Below are 18,107 nucleotides of genomic sequence, written 5' to 3'. Positions count from 1 at the left end.
ATAGCAAAGACATAGGGTTAGTCTAGATGCCCACCAATGGTAGACTGGGTAAAGAAAACATGGTACATATACATCGTGGAATACTATGCAGCCATGAAAAAAGAACAAGATCATGCACTTGCTTATAGAACAAGATCTATAAGCAAACTAAACAGAAAATCAAAAACCACATGTTCTCACTTATAAGTGGGAACTAAACATTGGATACACATGGGCACAAAGAAGGGAACAATAGCTACCAGCATCTACTTGAGGATGGAGGGTGGGAGGATGGTGAGGATAAAAACCTACCTGTTAGATACTATGCTTATTAACTGGGTGATGAAATAATCCATACACCAAATCCCCACAACACACAATTTACCTATAGAACCAATCTGCACTTGTACCCCTGCACTTGTAACATTTACCTATAGAACCAATCTGCACTTGTAACATTTATTTTTAAAATAAATGTTAAAAAAAAAAAAAAAAAAAAAAGCAGGCCGGGCGTGGTGGCTCACGCCTGTAATCCCAGCATTTTGGGAGGCTGAGGTGGGTGGATCACCTGAGTTTAGGAGTTCAAGACCAGCCTGGCCAACATGGTGAAACCCCATCTCTACTAAAAATACAAAAAATTAGCTGGGTGCAGTTGTGGGTGCCTGTAATCCCAGCTACTTGGTAGGCTAAGGCAGGAGAATCACTTGAACCCAGAAGGCAGAGGTTGCAGTGAGCCAAGATCATGCCACTGCACTCCAGCCTGGGCGACAGAGTGAGACTGTCTCAAAAAAAAAAAAAGAAAAAAAAATTATTACAAAATCAACATATGTTCATGTTAGAAAAAGTATAAACAAAACATTATATACTGACCTTCCCAAAATTAGTGCTCTTAATTTCTTATTTGTTTTTCCAGATATTTGTGTGTGCATGTACTTTTACCAAAAGAGATATGCTATTTGCAACACTTTTAAGTAAATACTAGCTACCTTTTTGTACCAATAAATCTTTATCCTATCTTTATCTTATCCCCCACTTTCTAGTTTCTCCAATTGTCCTCAAATGTCTCTAAAATTACCCAAATCAGGATCCAGTCCTGGCTCATGCATCGCATTTAGTGGATATGTTGGATCTCTTGGATCTCATTTAATCCAGTATCTTTTTATTATGATACTAGGCTTGATAAAGAGCCCAATCAGTTGTCTGCCCTGTAGAATGCCACATATTCTGGATTTTTGGTTTGCTTCTTTATAGTATCACTGCAGTTGTACCTCTAGTCCCTGACTTTACTTCAAACTGGAAATTAAATCTAAAGGTTTGTTGAATTTAATGTGGCTAATACACATCTTAGGAGTTGTGACGATAGGTTCATTTGATTGATGCTGAGGGTTCAGGCTAATTCACCTGGCTACACTCAGGAATGCCAAAAGCAAACTCCGGGTAGCAAAATCAACTTAAAATGGCCCATTTTCAGCCAAGTATTGTTACAAAATAAGTAAAGTTAAACTCACTCCTCATTTTGCATGAATTTCACGTATTCTCTTATTCTTGCAAAGGTCATTGTTCTACTAGGATCATGGCTCATACTGTAGATATTTTTCTTGTCTTCAGTGACCTTCCATTGTCTCACATGCTTTCTATGGCACAGGCTCACTATGCCACATTAATCAGGCTGGCAAGTTGCCTCCTCAAACAGTGCTTTACAAGAAAATAATAACAATAGCTAACATTTATGGAGCACAGATGACAATAAGTGCATTTTAGGCCTCGTTTCTTTGGATCACCTCTGCAGAAGGCATGTTTATTAGTCCCATGTACCATGAAGGGGGCCCAGGTTTATGCTTGGTCACCAGCTGTGGGAACCCGGAGCCTGAACACCAAGCTTTGCCCAGCTGTGGATCCACTCCTTTACTCTCTCTTCTCTGTTTTTAAAATGTTCTGTTTTATGGTTTTCATTCTTAAGTATAGATCTATGATCTATCTCAAATTAATTTCACTGGGATGGATACTAAGTTGTTGCAGCACCATTTGGTGAGAGGATTTGGGCTTGCTGTTATGTAAAAGAGTAACAAGCTCTTGGAGGGCAACACTGGAATAAGTATCTTCCAGTCACCTACCTGTCCCTTTCTTTCCCCTACTCTTCACTTCTCTCTCCTTGACTGCTGGGGAGCTGACAGACATAGCACTCGTGGTGAGCCTTTGTCACCGATGTTTATTCATTTTTTGGAGCAGCATGGGAGAAACATTTCTGGGGTTCTTTCTCATTTTAATAAGACTAGTAGGTGTTTTTCTGGTTCATCCAGGCACACACATTATTTGCACACATATTGGCATGTTGGATTGAAGCCTCAATTCTAGGTTTAATTTACGCAAGCTCCTAATTGGCATCACTTGGCATACCTACAGTTGAATCTTTTTTTTTTAATTGGAAGGGTTGATGCCAGTGCAGGCTGAATGGGGTTCTCTGCCATTCCTGTATGCTACAGATATTCAGATTGCCTGGGAACAGGATCCTTGTCCCCTCACCTTCCCCCATCACCTCATTCTGCTCCTGGCTTGGTGTGTAGTAAACTATAACCAATACTCTAAAATCAGAGCTATACTGAAAACTGGGACCATGCCCTGAAACCAGGAGCATCTAACATCCTCAGCCTAAATGTGGATGCAGAAGAGAAGCCTGGGAAAATCTTCCCCAGCCCTCCCTACTCTTTGTTTTGTGCTTATCTTCTATCCCATGTTTTTCAAATTTTGCAGAAAAAATACTTTTCTTGGGTAATCTCTAGGTTGGTAAGACATCTTTAATTCCTGCCTAATGGAAATATTGAAGCAAGGCATGACTGTGTGCTTAAAGAATTGGGTGCCCAGGCCAGGCATGGTGGCTCATACTTATAATCCCATCACTTTGGGAGGTCAAGCTGGGGAGATTGCTTGAGGCCAGGAGTTCAAGACTAGCCTGAGAAACATAGTAAGACCTTGTCTCTAAAAAAAAATTTAAAAATTAGCTAGGTGGGGTGGTGCATACCTGTGGTCCCAGCTACTCAGGAGGCTGAGGTGGAAGGATTGCTTGAGCCTGGGAGGTCGAGGCTGCAGTGAGCCATGATCACACCACTGTACTTCAGCCTGGGTGACAAAGCAAGACCCTGTCTTAAAAAAAGAATTGAATGCCTAGAGTTTTAAGCCAACCCTAGTAACATTAAGCAAAGTATCATAGGTCAGAGCCTGGGTTCAAACCCAGGTTTCCTTGACCTCAGTGCCAAGGGTCTTAAATACTGTACTGTAGGAGTAACTATTGAATATGCTTGTAAAATAATTTAACTAAATTGCAATTATTTTTTATTTTAGAGTTGGGATCTCGCTCTGTAACGCAGGCTAGAATGCATTGGTGTGATCATGGCTCACTGTAACCTCAAACACCTGGGTCCAAGCAATCCTCCTGCCTCAGCCTCCCACATAGCTAGGTCTAGAGGTGTGTGCCACCACACCAGGCTAAGTTTTTTATTTTTTGTAGAGATGGGGTCCCACAGTGTTGCTCAGACTGTTCTCAAACTCCTGGCCTCAAGCGATCCTCTGGCTTTGGCCTTCCAAAGTGTTGGGATTACAGGCTTGAGCCATTGCGCCCAGCCTAAATTGCAATTCTGCTTTTTTGGGGAGATGGGGGGTAGGAATTTTTTTAAGCCTTAGTTTCTTAAAGAGCAATGAAGTATTTTTACTAAGATAGACTTAATATGGGCTTTTGTAACTGCCCAACAGGTTCATTTTGCCTGTTGTCCAGATAGAGCAGATTTATCAAGACAGGGGAATTGCGATAGAGAAAGAGTTTAATTCATGCAAAGCCAACTAAACAGGAGACCGGAGTTTTACTATTACTCAAGTCAGTCTCCCCAAAAATTCAGAGACTGGGAGTTTTTAAGGATAATTTTGTGGGTTGGGGGAGAGACAGTGGGGAGTGGTGATTGGTCAGGTCGGAGACGAAATCATAGGGTGTCAAAGCTGTCCTCTTGTGCTGAGTCAGTTCCTGGGTGGGGGCCACAAGACCAGATGAGCCAGTTTATCGATGTGGGTGGTGCCAGCAGATCCATCCAGTGCAGGGTCTAAAAAATATCTTAGGTTTTACAATAGTGATATTATCCCTCTGAGCAATTGGGGAGGCTTGGAATCTTGTGGCCTCTGGCTGCATAACTCCTAAGCCATAATTTCTAATCTTGTGGCTAATTTGTTAGTCCTACATTCAGGAAAAGGCTATTATCATCTTTGTTTCAAAGTTAAACTATGAACTATGTTAGTTTAGCCTATGCCCAGGAATGAACAAGGACAGCTTGAAGGTTAGACGCAAGATGGAGTTGGTTTCATCAGATCTCTTTCATTGCCATAATTTTCTCACTGTTATGATTTTTGCAAAGGCAGTTTCACTTTTGAAAAATTCGCATCACATTTAGAATTTTATGATTGTGGCATTGGTTTATAGTTTATTGTATTCCAGAAATATAGGTTGAAAAGAGAAAACATTCCCTGGGTAATAGTGGCCATATTTGTCAACCTGAAAATAAAGAGATAAAGGATAAATGACTTTCACACACCTTCTAAGTATAAGAGACAGTTGATGAGATGTAGTTTGCATGTCTAAATGTTTTACTTAGGGGGTATTTTAATGGTTTACGCAGACAGTGGGACACAATATCTGAAATTATGGCCGTTCTGGAAAATCTGGGAAGTACAGTCAACATGCAGTAGAGGTTCCCAACTTATCATTAAACCAAAACACAACATTAAAGCTTGTCTTTCTAAATGCCGCTGCCCAAGCTCCTTTTCCTACCACTATCCTCAGGTGATAGTAAAATGTCCTCAGTAACGCTCTGTGGTTTGAATAATTAAATTCTTTCTTTTTAGATTTAGGCAGAGCTCATTGTTTTCCAGGTGAAATATCTAATTCATTTTAAGCATGTTTTAAATTAATGAACTGTTTGGTGACCAGATATCCCAAGTCCCTGTCATGAGCGTAATTGTTAGCCTGTGCCTCTATAAAATGTGTTCGGTATTTAAAAATCCTTCAGATAAAATAGCTTGATCATTTGTACATCTCCCCTTACAAAGCACCTTAAGTCCTCATGTGAATTTCAGAAAGTTCTTCCTCAGGATAGTCTTGATCTTATAATGAATTTTCAACAGTAGTTTATTAGCAATTATTTATTGAATACATGATATACCAGGAGCTGGACAAGCTACACCAAGAACACAGGGATACAGAGAAAAACCGTGAAGGTCCCTGACTTCGGGGCTTCGATGGTGGAGTTAGAGAAAGGGAGGTCAGTCAAGGTCAGCCAAGTGATTGTAACGTGTGTGACCCGCATTAGATAACACAGGTGTCATGGTGAACCCAGACTTGGGAGGTCAAGAAAAGTATGCTAGATAAATGTCATGTTTAGGCTGATATTTGAAGAAGAAGGATTAGCTAGGCAGGTCAGACAAATAACTTAAATCTATAACACACACACCACTGTGGAGCCCCACAGCCCGATGACTTTCCCCCCAGAAGCTGCATCACAGGGTAGCATTTCAAAAACAGATTCCATTGTTAGGATAGCTGAAGATTCTCTCTCTCTCTCTCTCTCACACACACACACACACACACACACACGCATGCGCGTGCACACACACACACACCACACAACACTGCCTGGGTTGTAGATTGTTCCTTCAAAAATTTTTTTCTGTTTTTTTTAATAAACATTCTGTGAAGAACCAGAACACTCATTTGTATCTGTGTGGCAAATTCCAACTTGACTGAATTGAACTGCAGCTGATAGAGAATGTATTTTCTGCTTTCTGGGTGACTGCCATTTTAACCACCGGATGAAGGAGATGGAGTGAGAGTCTCCGGAGGCCGGTGTGTCCATCAGGCCCCCGTTTCTTCATGAGGGCTTCTCCCTGAAGTCTGTGCTCTCACAGGAAGGAAGCCAGCATGCTGGGTGAAAGGCTGCCTGGGCAATTGGAGACTCTTTTGACCACATTCTTTTTTAAAATTTGGACTCTCCAGGGTTTCCTGTCAAAGACTTAATTTTCAATGAAGGGAGGTTTATACATAAAACATGAATGAGTGTTTGAAACATTTATATTAAGGTTGGGAAGAATTAATTTGAATAATATTTGGCATAAATCTGCTGTTACAGAGGCAGGAAAAGATGGCCCAAAAAGAAAGGAGGATTTTGTTTAACTGCCTCTGAAATTTCATCTGTTTATCTCAGCATTTAAAAAATTATCTGATGCTTAGTTGGTTCTTTATCTTATTTTCAAGATTTTTATTTACCCTTGCAATTGAGAACTTGTGATTTGTTGTGGACTATTGAGACACACAAAAAATACTTTGGTTACATACTTGTTTCCCTGAAAGAATCATGATTTTATTATTTTTGTAAAAATGACATAGGTTTTCTTTAAAAAGAATAAGAGGAAATAAAAATCATTCAGAATACTGTACCCAGAAATAGCCATCATTAATATTTGTCAGACATCATTGTAGACATCTATATATTTCTGTAGTAAGAGAATGAGAGGAATTAAAAGAATATAAAATAAAATGTCTCATATGTTATATTGTATGAAATTTTATTTTATTTGAATTAACAGAAGAATAAAACTGAAGTGAAACTAAAATAACTGGTGAAATTGATGCTTTCTCAAAATAAGAAATTGATTATCACATTTGTCTTTCTTTTTTTTTTTTTTTTGAGACAGAGTCTCGCTGTTGCCCAGGCTAGAGTGCAGTGGTATAATCTCGGCTCACTGCAACCTCCAACTCCCAGGTTCAAGCGATTCTCCTGCCTCAGCCTCCCGAGTAGCTGGGATTACAGGCACCTGCCACTACACCTGGCTAATTTTTATGTTTTTAGTAGAGACAGGGTTTCACCATGCTGGCCAGGCTCGTCTCGAACTCCCTACCTCAGGCGATCTGCCTGCCTCAGCCTTCCAAAGTGCTGGGATTATAGGAATGAGCCACCGCGCCCAGCTTGATGATCAGATTTTTCTAAAGTTAAGAAAAAAGATTATTAAAAACTTTGAAATTGTAGTCATTTTATGTGTATATATTTTAACTTTTGATAGTATTTTATGTCCCCTTACTATGAAATGTGAAGTAATTAACACTTTGAAAATTTCTCCCTCAACTTCTTTTTTTTTTGAGGTGGAGTCCTGCTCTGTTGCCTAGGCTGGATGGAGTGCAATGGCACAATCTCGGCTCACTGCAACCTCTGCTTCCCAGGTTCAAGCGATTCTCCTGCCTCAGCCTCCCGAGTAGCTGGGACTACAGGTGCCCACCACCATGCCCGGCTAATTTTTGTATTTTTAGTAGAGACGAGGTTTTACCATGTTGCCCAGGCTGGTCTCCAACTCCTGACCTCAGGTGATCTGCCCACCTCAGCCTCCCAAAGTGCTTGGATTACAGGCATGAGCCACCGTGCCCGGCCTCAACTTTTATATTTTGTTCTATACCCATACTACCAAGACTGCTTAATCTAATTCTGTATCTAACAGAATACCAACTCAACCTAGCCTCCTAATCATGGTTTCTTTACTCTTCCTTTTCACTTTCTTTCGGTTGGGTGAATTTCATTGCCAACTCGTGTCGTGATTGTTTGCATGCTGGAGAGTGTATGATTCAGATAGCTAAGAGACAAATTCACATTTAGAGTCACATGGGGATTCTGATATCACTTCCTCTCTGTTCTTGACTTGGGACTCAGATAGGCCAGGGATTTTTGCCGATTGAACCATACTATGGCCTCTAACCAGCATTTAGACATTTAAGGAACTATGGGACTCCTGGTCACTTCCTCCTCACCTTCCTGTACCTATTCCTCCCCAAACCCTTCTGAGAAAGCTTCTTAAACCAACGATCTTTTTCACATTTTTTTGGTTTTTTTTCGAGATGGTGTGTCTCACTCTGTCACCCAAGCTGGTGGCGCGATCTCGGCTCATTGCAACCTCCGCCTCCTAGGTTCAAGCGATTCTTGTGCCTGAGCCTCCTGAGTAGTGGGGATTACAGTCACCTGCCACCATGCCCAGCTAATTTTTGTATTTTTAGTAGAGATGGGGTTTCACCATGTTGGCCAGGCTGGTCTCAAACTCCTGACTTCGGGTGATCCACCCACCTCGGCCTCCCAAAGTGCTGGGATTACAGGCTTAAGCCTCCACGCCCAGCCCCTTTTCACATTTAAAGTTACTGTCACAGTTTTATGTTACCAGCTCCTCCCCACTGGCTTTAGGGGAGGTCATAAGTAGCTCATCAAGGTTACTTCCAAAGGTGCTGGACCTTCAAAAACCTATTATATCTTAAAATTGGAACCCAGTGGGGTGTACAAGTGACTTTTTTGGTTATTAGCTTGTAAGGACTTTTTCCAGTGACAATTTTGACTATAAAAACAAAAATCTGGCCGGGCGCGGTGGCTCACACAGTAATCCCGGCACTTTGGGAGGCTGAGGCAGGCAGATCACCTGAGGTCAGGAGTTCGAGACCAGCCTGGCCAACATGGTGAAACCCTGTCTCTACTAAAAATATCAAAATTAGCCAGACATGCTGGTGGGCACCTGTAATCTCAGCTACTTGGGAGGGTGAGGCAGGAGAATTGCTTGAATCCAGGAGACGGAGGTTGTAGTGAGCCAACATGGTGCCACTGCACTCTAGCCTGGGTGACAGAGTGAGACTCTGTCTCAAAAAAAAAGGTAGTGGAAGAGGAAGATAAAAAATGAGTAGGAAAAAAAGTTGAAGTCAGGATTGGACATAATCTGACTCTAAATTTTATGGTTGCCTATGAATCTATAATTCATATATCCCAAATTTTCTTTCTTTCTTTTTTTTTTTTTTTTTTGAGACAGGGTCTCACTCTGTCACCCATGCTGGAATGCAGTGGTGCGATCTCTTCTCACTGCTGCCTCAACCTCCTGGGCAGCACAAGCGATCCTCCTACCTCAGCCTCCTGAGTAGTTGGGGCCATAGGTCTGTGTCACCATGCCTGGCTAATTTCTTATTTTATGTAGTGATGGGATCTCGCTATATTGCCCAGGCTGGTCTCAAACTCCTGGGCTCCGCCTTAGCCTCCCAAAGTGCTGAGATTACAGGCATGAGCCACTGCCACCAGCCCCAAATTTTCTTAGTCCCAATTTCAATTATTCTGTGTTCATTAGGATAACAAATGTTTAAAATGTGGTCTCTTTATGTGCCAGTGAGGGAATCAAGTGAGAAGTGGTCATCCAAGGACCGCTTATCCTTTGTCACAATGTTGAAGTCCTACAGTGAAATCATGACTGGAAATTCTTCTGAGGCTCCATGAAATCTTTTCTTGCACAGTGTCTACATGAATGTGCCTGCAGCACTCTCCTGATTTTCTCACCTGCTGCCCCTGAGTTCTCATTTACTAACCCCTCAACAACATCTGTTCTTCTGAAGCAGATTCCTTGAACCTAAAATGATAGGGAGAATTTGATGTAGTCTAAGCAGATCTTCCTATGATAAGGCTGACATTTAAATTACTTTTTTTAAATAAGAAAAATAATGACTCTCTCTCCTGGGGAGGGATTATAAAGCAAGTTCTCTCACAGGCCTTCAGTTTCCCAAGCCTTATTGATACTGCAAGCTAATTTAGGTGGATATGACAGCTTTTAACATTTTAATAGTCATGCTTTTACTTAATATATATTAGAAATATATATCTAGAAAAGTGATAATGATATGAAGTTTCTCAGGAGTTGGAAGCCAGCCTTAGCAACATAGCAAGACCCTGTCTTAAAAAAAAAAAAATCTACAATGTGATGATTTTAAGTCTGTTATCCACCAATACATACATGATAAGCTTCATATGCACCATGCATTCTCATGGAAATACGTGATTCCTGTGCTTCTCTGTAACTCAACCTCTTGCTCTCCCACTCCAGAAGATACTTTGGAAGGCAACCAAATGAAAAATGTTGTAAGAATCATTATTGCGGCCGGGCGCAGTGTCTCATGCCTGTAATCCCAGCACTTTGGGTGTCTGAGGCAGGTGGATCACTTGAGGTTAGGAGTTCAAGACCAGCCTGGCCAACATAGTGAAACCCCATCTCTACTAAAAATACAAGAATTAGCTGGGCGTGGTGGCACACGCCTGTAATCCCAGCTACTCAGGAAGCTGAGGCAAGAGAATCGCTTGAACCCAGGAGGCGGAGGTTGCAATGAGCCAAGATCGCGCCAATGCACTCCAGCCTGGGTGACGGAGTTGAGACTGTCTCAAAAAAAAAAAAAAAAAAAGGAAGCAGCAGCAGCAGCAGCATTATTCCACTCTAATTCATTTTTGCAATATGTAAACTATTTACAAATAGGTACTTTCACTCTTACTAGCATTTTTCAGCATACCTCAGGACTGATCGCCACCTGATGGCCACTTGGCAGAGCATAAGCATGCTTGAGAAAGAGTGATCTTACAAACTAGTTTGGGTCTGAGATATCATGTGTAGAGACCCCTATTGGGGAATTTGTACCGTAGGGAGTGCTTTCCTTATTGCCTCTGACCTAATAATGTCCTCTTTTCTCTTTAACACATATAGACTGTTGGGCGGGAGCTGCTGCTCCATCTGATTGACTATCTCGTAACCAGTGATGGCAAAGACCCTGAAATCACAAATCTGATCAATAGTACCCGGATACACATCATGCCTTCCATGAACCCAGATGGATTTGAAGCCGTCAAAAAGCCTGACTGTTATTACAGCATCGGAAGGTAAAGAGGGGCTGGTCTATCTTTACTTGAAAACAACACAACACAAAGGCTCCCGACAGGCACCTGTTGGCCTTGGCAAGAGGAGATGTGTCATGGTGAGAGCCCTCAGAGCCGGTGTCATGTCGCTGATGTGCCAAAGCTCAAGGCACATCAGGGCTGCCTCCGGCTTGCAGGAAGAAATGCAAATAAGGCTACTTTGCCCCGGTGCCCACCTAGCCTCTCCATCTTCATTTGCCACTCCTTCTCTCTCCCCTGCCTCCTCCCCTCTAGGCCTCCTTCCTGGAAGTACCAGGTGCTTTCTTACCTCAGCATTTTACACACACCGTTTCCCTGCCTAAATAGCATTTCCTCCAAGACTCTTTCTCTCGACCTGTCATACACTAGATCCCCTGATAAACTCTCACATCACCTGGCACTTTACTGTCAGAGCACAACTTTTAATATCTAATTTCTTGCTTCATGTCTCTCCCCCCACTACACTGCAAGCTACCTGCAGGCAGGAATCCTGTCCATTGTGTTTGTCGTTGTTAGATCCGCAGTGCCTGGCAGAGCACCCAGGCCCTTGGTAATGACCGGTTGATTTATTAGGCCAGTAGTCCAAGAACTAACCATAAGCAAGAACGGGTCTTGAAGGAGCTCTGATTTAAACAGTTTATTTTGTTTCAAGCTGCCTTGGGAGGTTTGGAATTTCTCAGATGTCTAATATACATTCATATGTATGCAATTTACATATATGTGTTTGCTTTACCAAAGCTGAACAAAATCTCACCACTTGATTCCCTCCAATTTTAAGTTTTTCAAATATATTTAAACATGGCTGTTCCACGTTTCACAAGTACTTCTGTGTAATGTGTTTAGTGTTGTTTCTGTTATCAGTTGCTACTTAACGAACCACCCCAAAATTAGCGACTTAAAGCAACAGCCTTTTTATTTACTGTTGATTCCATAGGTCAGGAATTTGGGCAGGGCAGAGCAGGGATGGCTACTGTCCGTGCCACAGGTCTGGGGCTCAGCTCTGGTCTTTCTGAGACAATTTACCTGGAGCCATGGACTCTCCGTGGACTCTCCACGTGGCGACCATTGGGATCTCAAGGTCCCAAAAGGGAGCATCTAAGAGCAGAAGTCCCAAATACAAACACTTATCAAACCTCTGCCTGCATCACAATAGCTAGTATCTCATTGGTGAGAGCAGATCACGAGGCAGGGGATGCCATGGGATGTAAGTGCCAGGTGTGGGTCATGGCAGGCCACAAGGGCAGCCATCCACCACACCCATACTCACGTTTGGAAAGACACCTGGAGCCTAAACCAAAGGGCAAGACACTGTAAGAATCCACTCCCTCATGCCCTATCAATAAGCCCTAAAATATTCTTTCTTTTAAAGGGAAAATTATAACCAGTATGACTTGAATCGAAATTTCCCCGATGCTTTTGAATATAATAATGTCTCAAGGCAGCCTGAAACTGTGGCAGTCATGAAGTGGCTGAAAACAGAGACGTTTGTCCTCTCTGCAAACCTCCATGGTGGTGCCCTCGTGGCCAGTTACCCATTTGATAATGGTGTTCAAGGTAAGCAGGTGCGGGTCCAGTTCTGGCTTCTTAAGTCCAGAGTGGGGCTGAAAACTCTCTGCCTCTGGATGGGGATCAGCTCTCCCTTCCCCTCTTAACTTCTCTGGCAGGGTGAAAAGAGCTTCATGTTCCCAACTCTAGCCATCCTTCCTGTGATTCTTCAACAGCAGATGGGCAGTGTGGCTGAACTGACAACCCACAGCTGGACATGCATCAGTGAATTAGTGAAATTTAGATTCTAGAAAATACAATCTAAATAGTCAGATTTTGATTCTCTGACAAGAGACAACATGGCTAAAATAACATAAAACTGGAACAACTCACTTTTTTTTTTGCTAATCATATATGAACAATAATTGTTGACTCTTCTTAAAACTCTGTGGGATGAGGACCCAAAATATTACAGTAGCTTTATTCACCCCTATAATACCTAAAGAAATTGTCCTTACCTCCAGAAATTAGCAAGAGTGACTGAGAGGACACTTAATTTTTAAGCTGATTTAGGAGTTTGGATTTGTATCTGACTTATTTGGGGGCTATCACCTTGCATATGTTTATTATAAAGTAGAAAGAAGAATAGAGGAGGTGGATGAAGGATTTCTCTCTAGGGAAATTAGAGCATGTGTGTGTGATGCGATTATGTCTTTGCTAATATGGTGTTTGTGTTTCCTCTTACTCTCAAGTCAGTTTAAAGGTCTTGGTTCATCTTTTAAATGCAGCAACTGGGGCATTATACTCCCGAAGCTTAACGCCTGATGATGATGTTTTTCAATATCTTGCACATACCTATGCTTCAAGAAATCCCAACATGAAGAAAGGAGACGAGTGTAAAAACAAAATGAACTTTCCTAATGGTGTTACAAATGGATACTCTTGGTATCCACTCCAAGGTGAGTTTCTCTTCATTTCTTCCATTCTCCTTATTGCCTTCACCCAGAAGTGCCAGCTGGTTTATTTTGATCCAGCAGTTGTTAAAAGAACTTTAGGCACAATAGGCCCTTCACTCTGTCCTTATCAGCTAATATCATAAGAGCAGTGGAGATGACTGATTGTTTGAGAGATGCTCAGACATGTTCCTCATTACCAAGGGCCTTCTTCATTCATTCAGGTACTTATTCTGTGTCTGCCTACTGTGAGCCAGGAACTGAAAGATGAACAAGACACACACCTCACCCTGGAGTTGAATAGGGGAGACAGACACGCAGATAAGTAATTGTGATAGCAGTGCAATTAGAATAAAAACAGATTTAGAGAAGGTGCAGTGTACCCCAAGGGTGCACAGAGCCAAAATACAATAGGGAGTAGTGAAGAGCTTGGAGAAATGTGATGCTTACATCCCATCTAACAGGGACAGCTGCTACTAGATCTAGCTAATTATTGTCATGCAGCCTTGGGGAGCCAATACTGCCAGATCTTGCAGTTTGTAAAGAGAAGCTGAATTTGTACATGAAGTATCATGATTTTAAAGCCATTTTGCGGGCTCAACAAAAGAGCTCTTCAGACAGGATACAGTGGGAGGAGGGCCCCCAGTTCTCCAATCTTGGAATAAGACAGCCGGGTAAGGGACAGGATGAGATTGTCATGTAGGCAACATGGAAGGAGAGATATTCTTATTAGAGGGAATAATATAAACAGAAACCCGGGGTAGGAGGGACCTAGGGTGGAAGGACAGGAGGAGAGACGGACTGGAACTGGATTTCCATGCCTCAGGGGAAAACATTCCCTTTTAGACTCGTTAGCCTGACCCCACCAACAGCAAGTTGCGGCATGCATTTCTGCGTGCAGGCCACTTCCAAAGGTGCCTTCCCTAATTGTCACTTTGGATGCACAGGCTTTCAGGTAATCTTTCACAAGCTGGTATTTTTATGCCTGGGTGGCTCTCTGTCAGTTTTCCTGGTAATATAAATAAGCATAGACCACAACTGATAGGCAACAGGTCCAGGCAGCATTCCAAACCTCTCTCTGGTGTCCAAGATACAGCCCCCTCTCCTACCTTAGGGCTTCTGCATCGTCCCTGCTCTCCACAATTTGTAGCTAAGAAAGGGCCCATCCTGTCCAGTGGCAGAGCTGTCCTTCATGTTCACTGTCTAACTTTCGAAGGCAAATCCAGATGTGTAGGAAATTAGCTAGAAACGGTTGCTGCTGGGAATTGTTCCCCAGTGTGCCTGTGTGTGAGCTGTGTATCCTTCTCAGACAAAAAACAGGTGAAGCCAGCTGCCTTGAGGAGCCCAGAAGAATGTGCCTGGCCTGGCCTGGATGTTTTGTTGGCCAGGCCTGACCCGCCTTATCCAGAACTGCCCCCTCCACGCTTGGCATTCTCAGTTCTGGCTATCTGCTAGGGATCCATAATGCCTGCCTGTTTTGCTATTTAAAACAAACCCTTTGAAAGTAAGGGACCAGAGGAGAGAACTGGAAAGTCAGCATGAGCAGTGGCAGCCTGGGCTCCACAGGGGGCCGGGCCGTTCACCTCTGAGAGGCAGTGCAGCACTCTTTCTTTGATCCCCAGGAGCACTCTGGCATATTGGGGAAGCCCACAGGTGCTGGCGGAAGGTGGCCTGCACTCCAGTGTCTGTCATTTACTGGCCAAAACCCCTGAGCACTTTTCTTTAACATCTGTGATCATGTTTCCTCATCTGTAAAGTAGGGGCAATTGCTGTGAGGATTAAATGAGCTGATACAAAGCACTTCATATGGTACCTGGCAATAGTGAATGTTGGCCCATGATTCCCCCAAATTAGCATGCTTAGCTTTGCTTAGTAAGTGTATTTATAAATGATTTGTAGAAATATTTTAAAGGAATCTTATTCTAGCTTATATCCATGTAAAATGTAATTTAAGAAAGAAATGAAATTCAAAGAATCATTTTTGTAATGTAGGATTTCAAAAAATAAAAACAAAAAAGGACCCTTCCTTCACCCGTCACTTAATTTTGATGCACAGTTGAACTTCAGTCAGCTCTGATCCAGTTACCCATATGGGAATATTTAGGATTGTCTAGTCACGCCTGGGTAATAGAATGTCAAGCCCTGATTTTACAAGCTAATATGTCAAATTCATTTTTTCCTGTTTACATGTAGCTGTCTGATTCATTTGTCCCCGAGGCACGTGATACTTGGCTCCACTCCAATTTTAGACCCTAACAAAAATTAAATATGCTTGTGTTTAGGTGGAATGCAAGATTACAACTACATCTGGGCCCAGTGTTTTGAAATTACGTTGGAGCTGTCATGCTGTAAATATCCTCGTGAGGAGAAGCTTCCATCCTTTTGGAATAATAACAAAGCCTCATTAATTGAATATATAAAGCAGGTGCACCTAGGTTTGTAAAATTTTCTTATTAATTCCCTATTAATACAAAATAGAGCATCTGGCAAGACCTCTGGGTTGACTAAACGCAAGCCTTTATTTATGCTTTGTAGTTATAGCCTCATTTCAGTGCCAGATCTGATGGTTAAGAATTCTCTCTGCATGAGTATCTGCAGTGTGTGAGAAATGCAGTGCCCACTCATTCATAGAAAAGGAAGCATGATGCATGTTCCTTTAATATGAGGGTATAAAAATCCAGAGTACCAGGTGGTCGTGGTGGCTCATGCCTGTAATCCCAGCACTTTGGGAGGCCGAGGCAGGTGTATCACCTGAGGTCAGGAGTTCGAGACCAGCCTGGCCAACAAGGCGAAACCTCATCTCTACTGAAAATACAAAAATTAGCCAGGCGTGGTGGCACACGCCTGTAGTCCCAGTTACTTGGGAGGCTGAGGCAGGAGAATCACTTGAACCCGGGAGGCAGAAGTTGCTCCCTCCGCCAAGGAGCCAAGATGGTGCCAATGTACTCCAGACTGGGTGACAGAGTAAGACTCCATCTCAAAAACAAACAAACAAACAAACAAACATCCAGAGTCCCCCTAATTTTACATGTTGAATGATCTAGAAATCTGGCAAAATATCAGGAAAATAGGCTGCTACTCTGTTACATCATCTCCCATTTAGAAAAATACTATGTTTGCTTGTCACTCACCACGCAGTACCAAGGACCCTGAGAACACTGGACATACCACTTTGCATTTTTTCCAGAATTGGGGTGGTGAGCTAGCACCATTACCTTCAACCCCTCTCACCTCCGAACTCTGCCAGATGTCCTGGTGCTAGAAATCTTGCCAGCCTGTTTGCTGAAGGCTGGCTGGCCCTTATCACAGATAGACAGACTAAATGTGGCAGAGAGTGATAGCTTTCAAACGTGCAGTGGACTCACCGGGAGCGCTTGCTAAAACAGATTGCCAGGCCCCAACCCGGAGTTTCTGTTTGGACCACCTTACCACGTGATGCTGATGCTGCTGGTCCAGCGGCTATACTTAGAAAGCCATTGCACTAGAGAAACACACTGCTAGAGATGATGATGGAATCTTGTACAGTTCAAGTTTATTAACCAGGTGGTGTCTCTTTGGGCAAGGTGTGGAAGGCTCTTCTATATTTACAGAGGTGAAGTTATCTTTCTCCATTCAGAATGGCTTGGGGAGAGAAACATATCAGGAATTGGCATAATAGCTATGATACCACATGGAGAGAGAGAGAGAGAGAGTGTGAGTGTGTGTGTGTGTGGGTGTGTGTGGGTGTTGAAAAGGTTTGCTGCATGGGCCTACTGCATAACTGCATAATTCCCGGAATTTTCTGCATGATTCACAGCAAAGCTTTCCTCCTGCTACAAAGAAGATGGAGAAGGATGAGGGAAGGTAGCACAGGGCCAGAGGGCTGAGTGCAAGGATGATTAGGACCCTTCCTCGGCACACATCCCTAAAAGGGATGCCCCTGCCCTCTTTCATACCTGTATCCCCAGCCTCCATGCCCTGACCTGAAGAGAAGTACACAAAGATTACTGGTAAACTCACAGGGCTATGTCTAACTGGCTGAGTCGTTCATGGACTAGGTTGACTCCCTGTGATAGGGGATGTTATGAAATATCGTTCTTTCTCACCAGCATCTTAATAAAGATTATAAACTTATTATTGGGACTTTCACCTTCTTCATTATGTCATCAAACGTTGTCTTGGGTTCTCTCTTGCTTAGTATTCTGGTAATTCTTTCTCCACTAGATTTTCCTCATGAGGCATGTCATGTATTAGTCTAACATTTCTATTATATTTCTACCTCTATTGATCCTTTAGTTTGTTAATCTATTACTATTATTATCATTATCATCATTTTAGAGACAGGGTCTCACTCTGTCACCCAGGCTGGAGTACAGTGGCACAGTCATTGCCCACTGTACCTTGAACTCCTGGGCTCAAGTGATCCTTCTGCCTCAGTGTCCCAAGTAAGTAGGACTACAGGTGCACAGCACCACATCCAGCTAATTTTTTAAACAATTTTATATAGAGACAGAATCTTGCTATGTTGTCCAGGTGAGTCCCAAACTCCTGGGCTCAAGCGATCCTTCTGCCTCAGCCTCCCAAAGTGCTGGGATCCCAGGTGTGAGCCACCGTGACTGGCTCTGCCTATCCTTTTCTGAAATTCATTCTTCACCAGTATCAACATGGGTATGGGCGTGCAAGTGAACATCAAATATGCTCTGTGTAACTGCACTACTATTTTCAGAACCTCAATCTAGCTGTAAAGATTATTTACCAAGCACTGAATTAAGGTGGGCTTTGAAGTATCATGTTGATGTAATATTGCCAGGGAAAGGGCAATATAAATTGCAGTATACCTATTATTATTTTTAATAATTTGGAAGGCTTACCAGTCCATTTGCACTAGGTTTTGTTTTTTTGTTTTTGAGACGGAGTCTCGCTCTGTCATCTAGGCTGGAGTGCAATGGTGTGA

General features: G+C 42.6%; 1 protein-coding gene across 28 annotated transcripts in view; it reads left to right on the top strand.

Annotated features, from left to right (window-relative positions):
- CPM (carboxypeptidase M) overlaps nucleotides 1-18,107 on the top strand; it is a 121,273-nt gene that overhangs the window by 80,965 nt on the left and 22,201 nt on the right. For 20 of the 28 annotated variants that reach the window (XR_001748580.3, NR_182142.1, XR_001748577.3 and 17 more), the window contains 4 exons: nucleotides 10,549-10,721; nucleotides 12,106-12,290; nucleotides 13,010-13,180; nucleotides 15,457-15,609. Coding sequence is in view for 21 of the 28 variants with exons in the window: in NM_001874.5 (NP_001865.1) it covers nucleotides 10,549-10,721; nucleotides 12,106-12,290; nucleotides 13,010-13,180; nucleotides 15,457-15,609 (682 nt within the window). In the remaining 7 variants the exon portion in view is untranslated. Of the gene's footprint in view, nucleotides 1-10,548; nucleotides 10,722-12,105; nucleotides 12,291-12,973; nucleotides 13,181-13,398; nucleotides 14,130-15,456; nucleotides 15,667-18,107 lie in introns of those variants that run through there. The other 8 variants (XR_007063051.1, NM_001413403.1, NM_001413404.1 and 5 more) reach the window with 5 other exon arrangements.

The sequence above is a fragment of the Homo sapiens genome, chromosome 12 (genome assembly GCF_000001405.40).
Source record: "Homo sapiens chromosome 12, GRCh38.p14 Primary Assembly".
NCBI lineage: Eukaryota > Metazoa > Chordata > Mammalia > Primates > Hominidae > Homo > Homo sapiens.
This window is presented reverse-complemented; position numbering and strand designations above follow the sequence as displayed.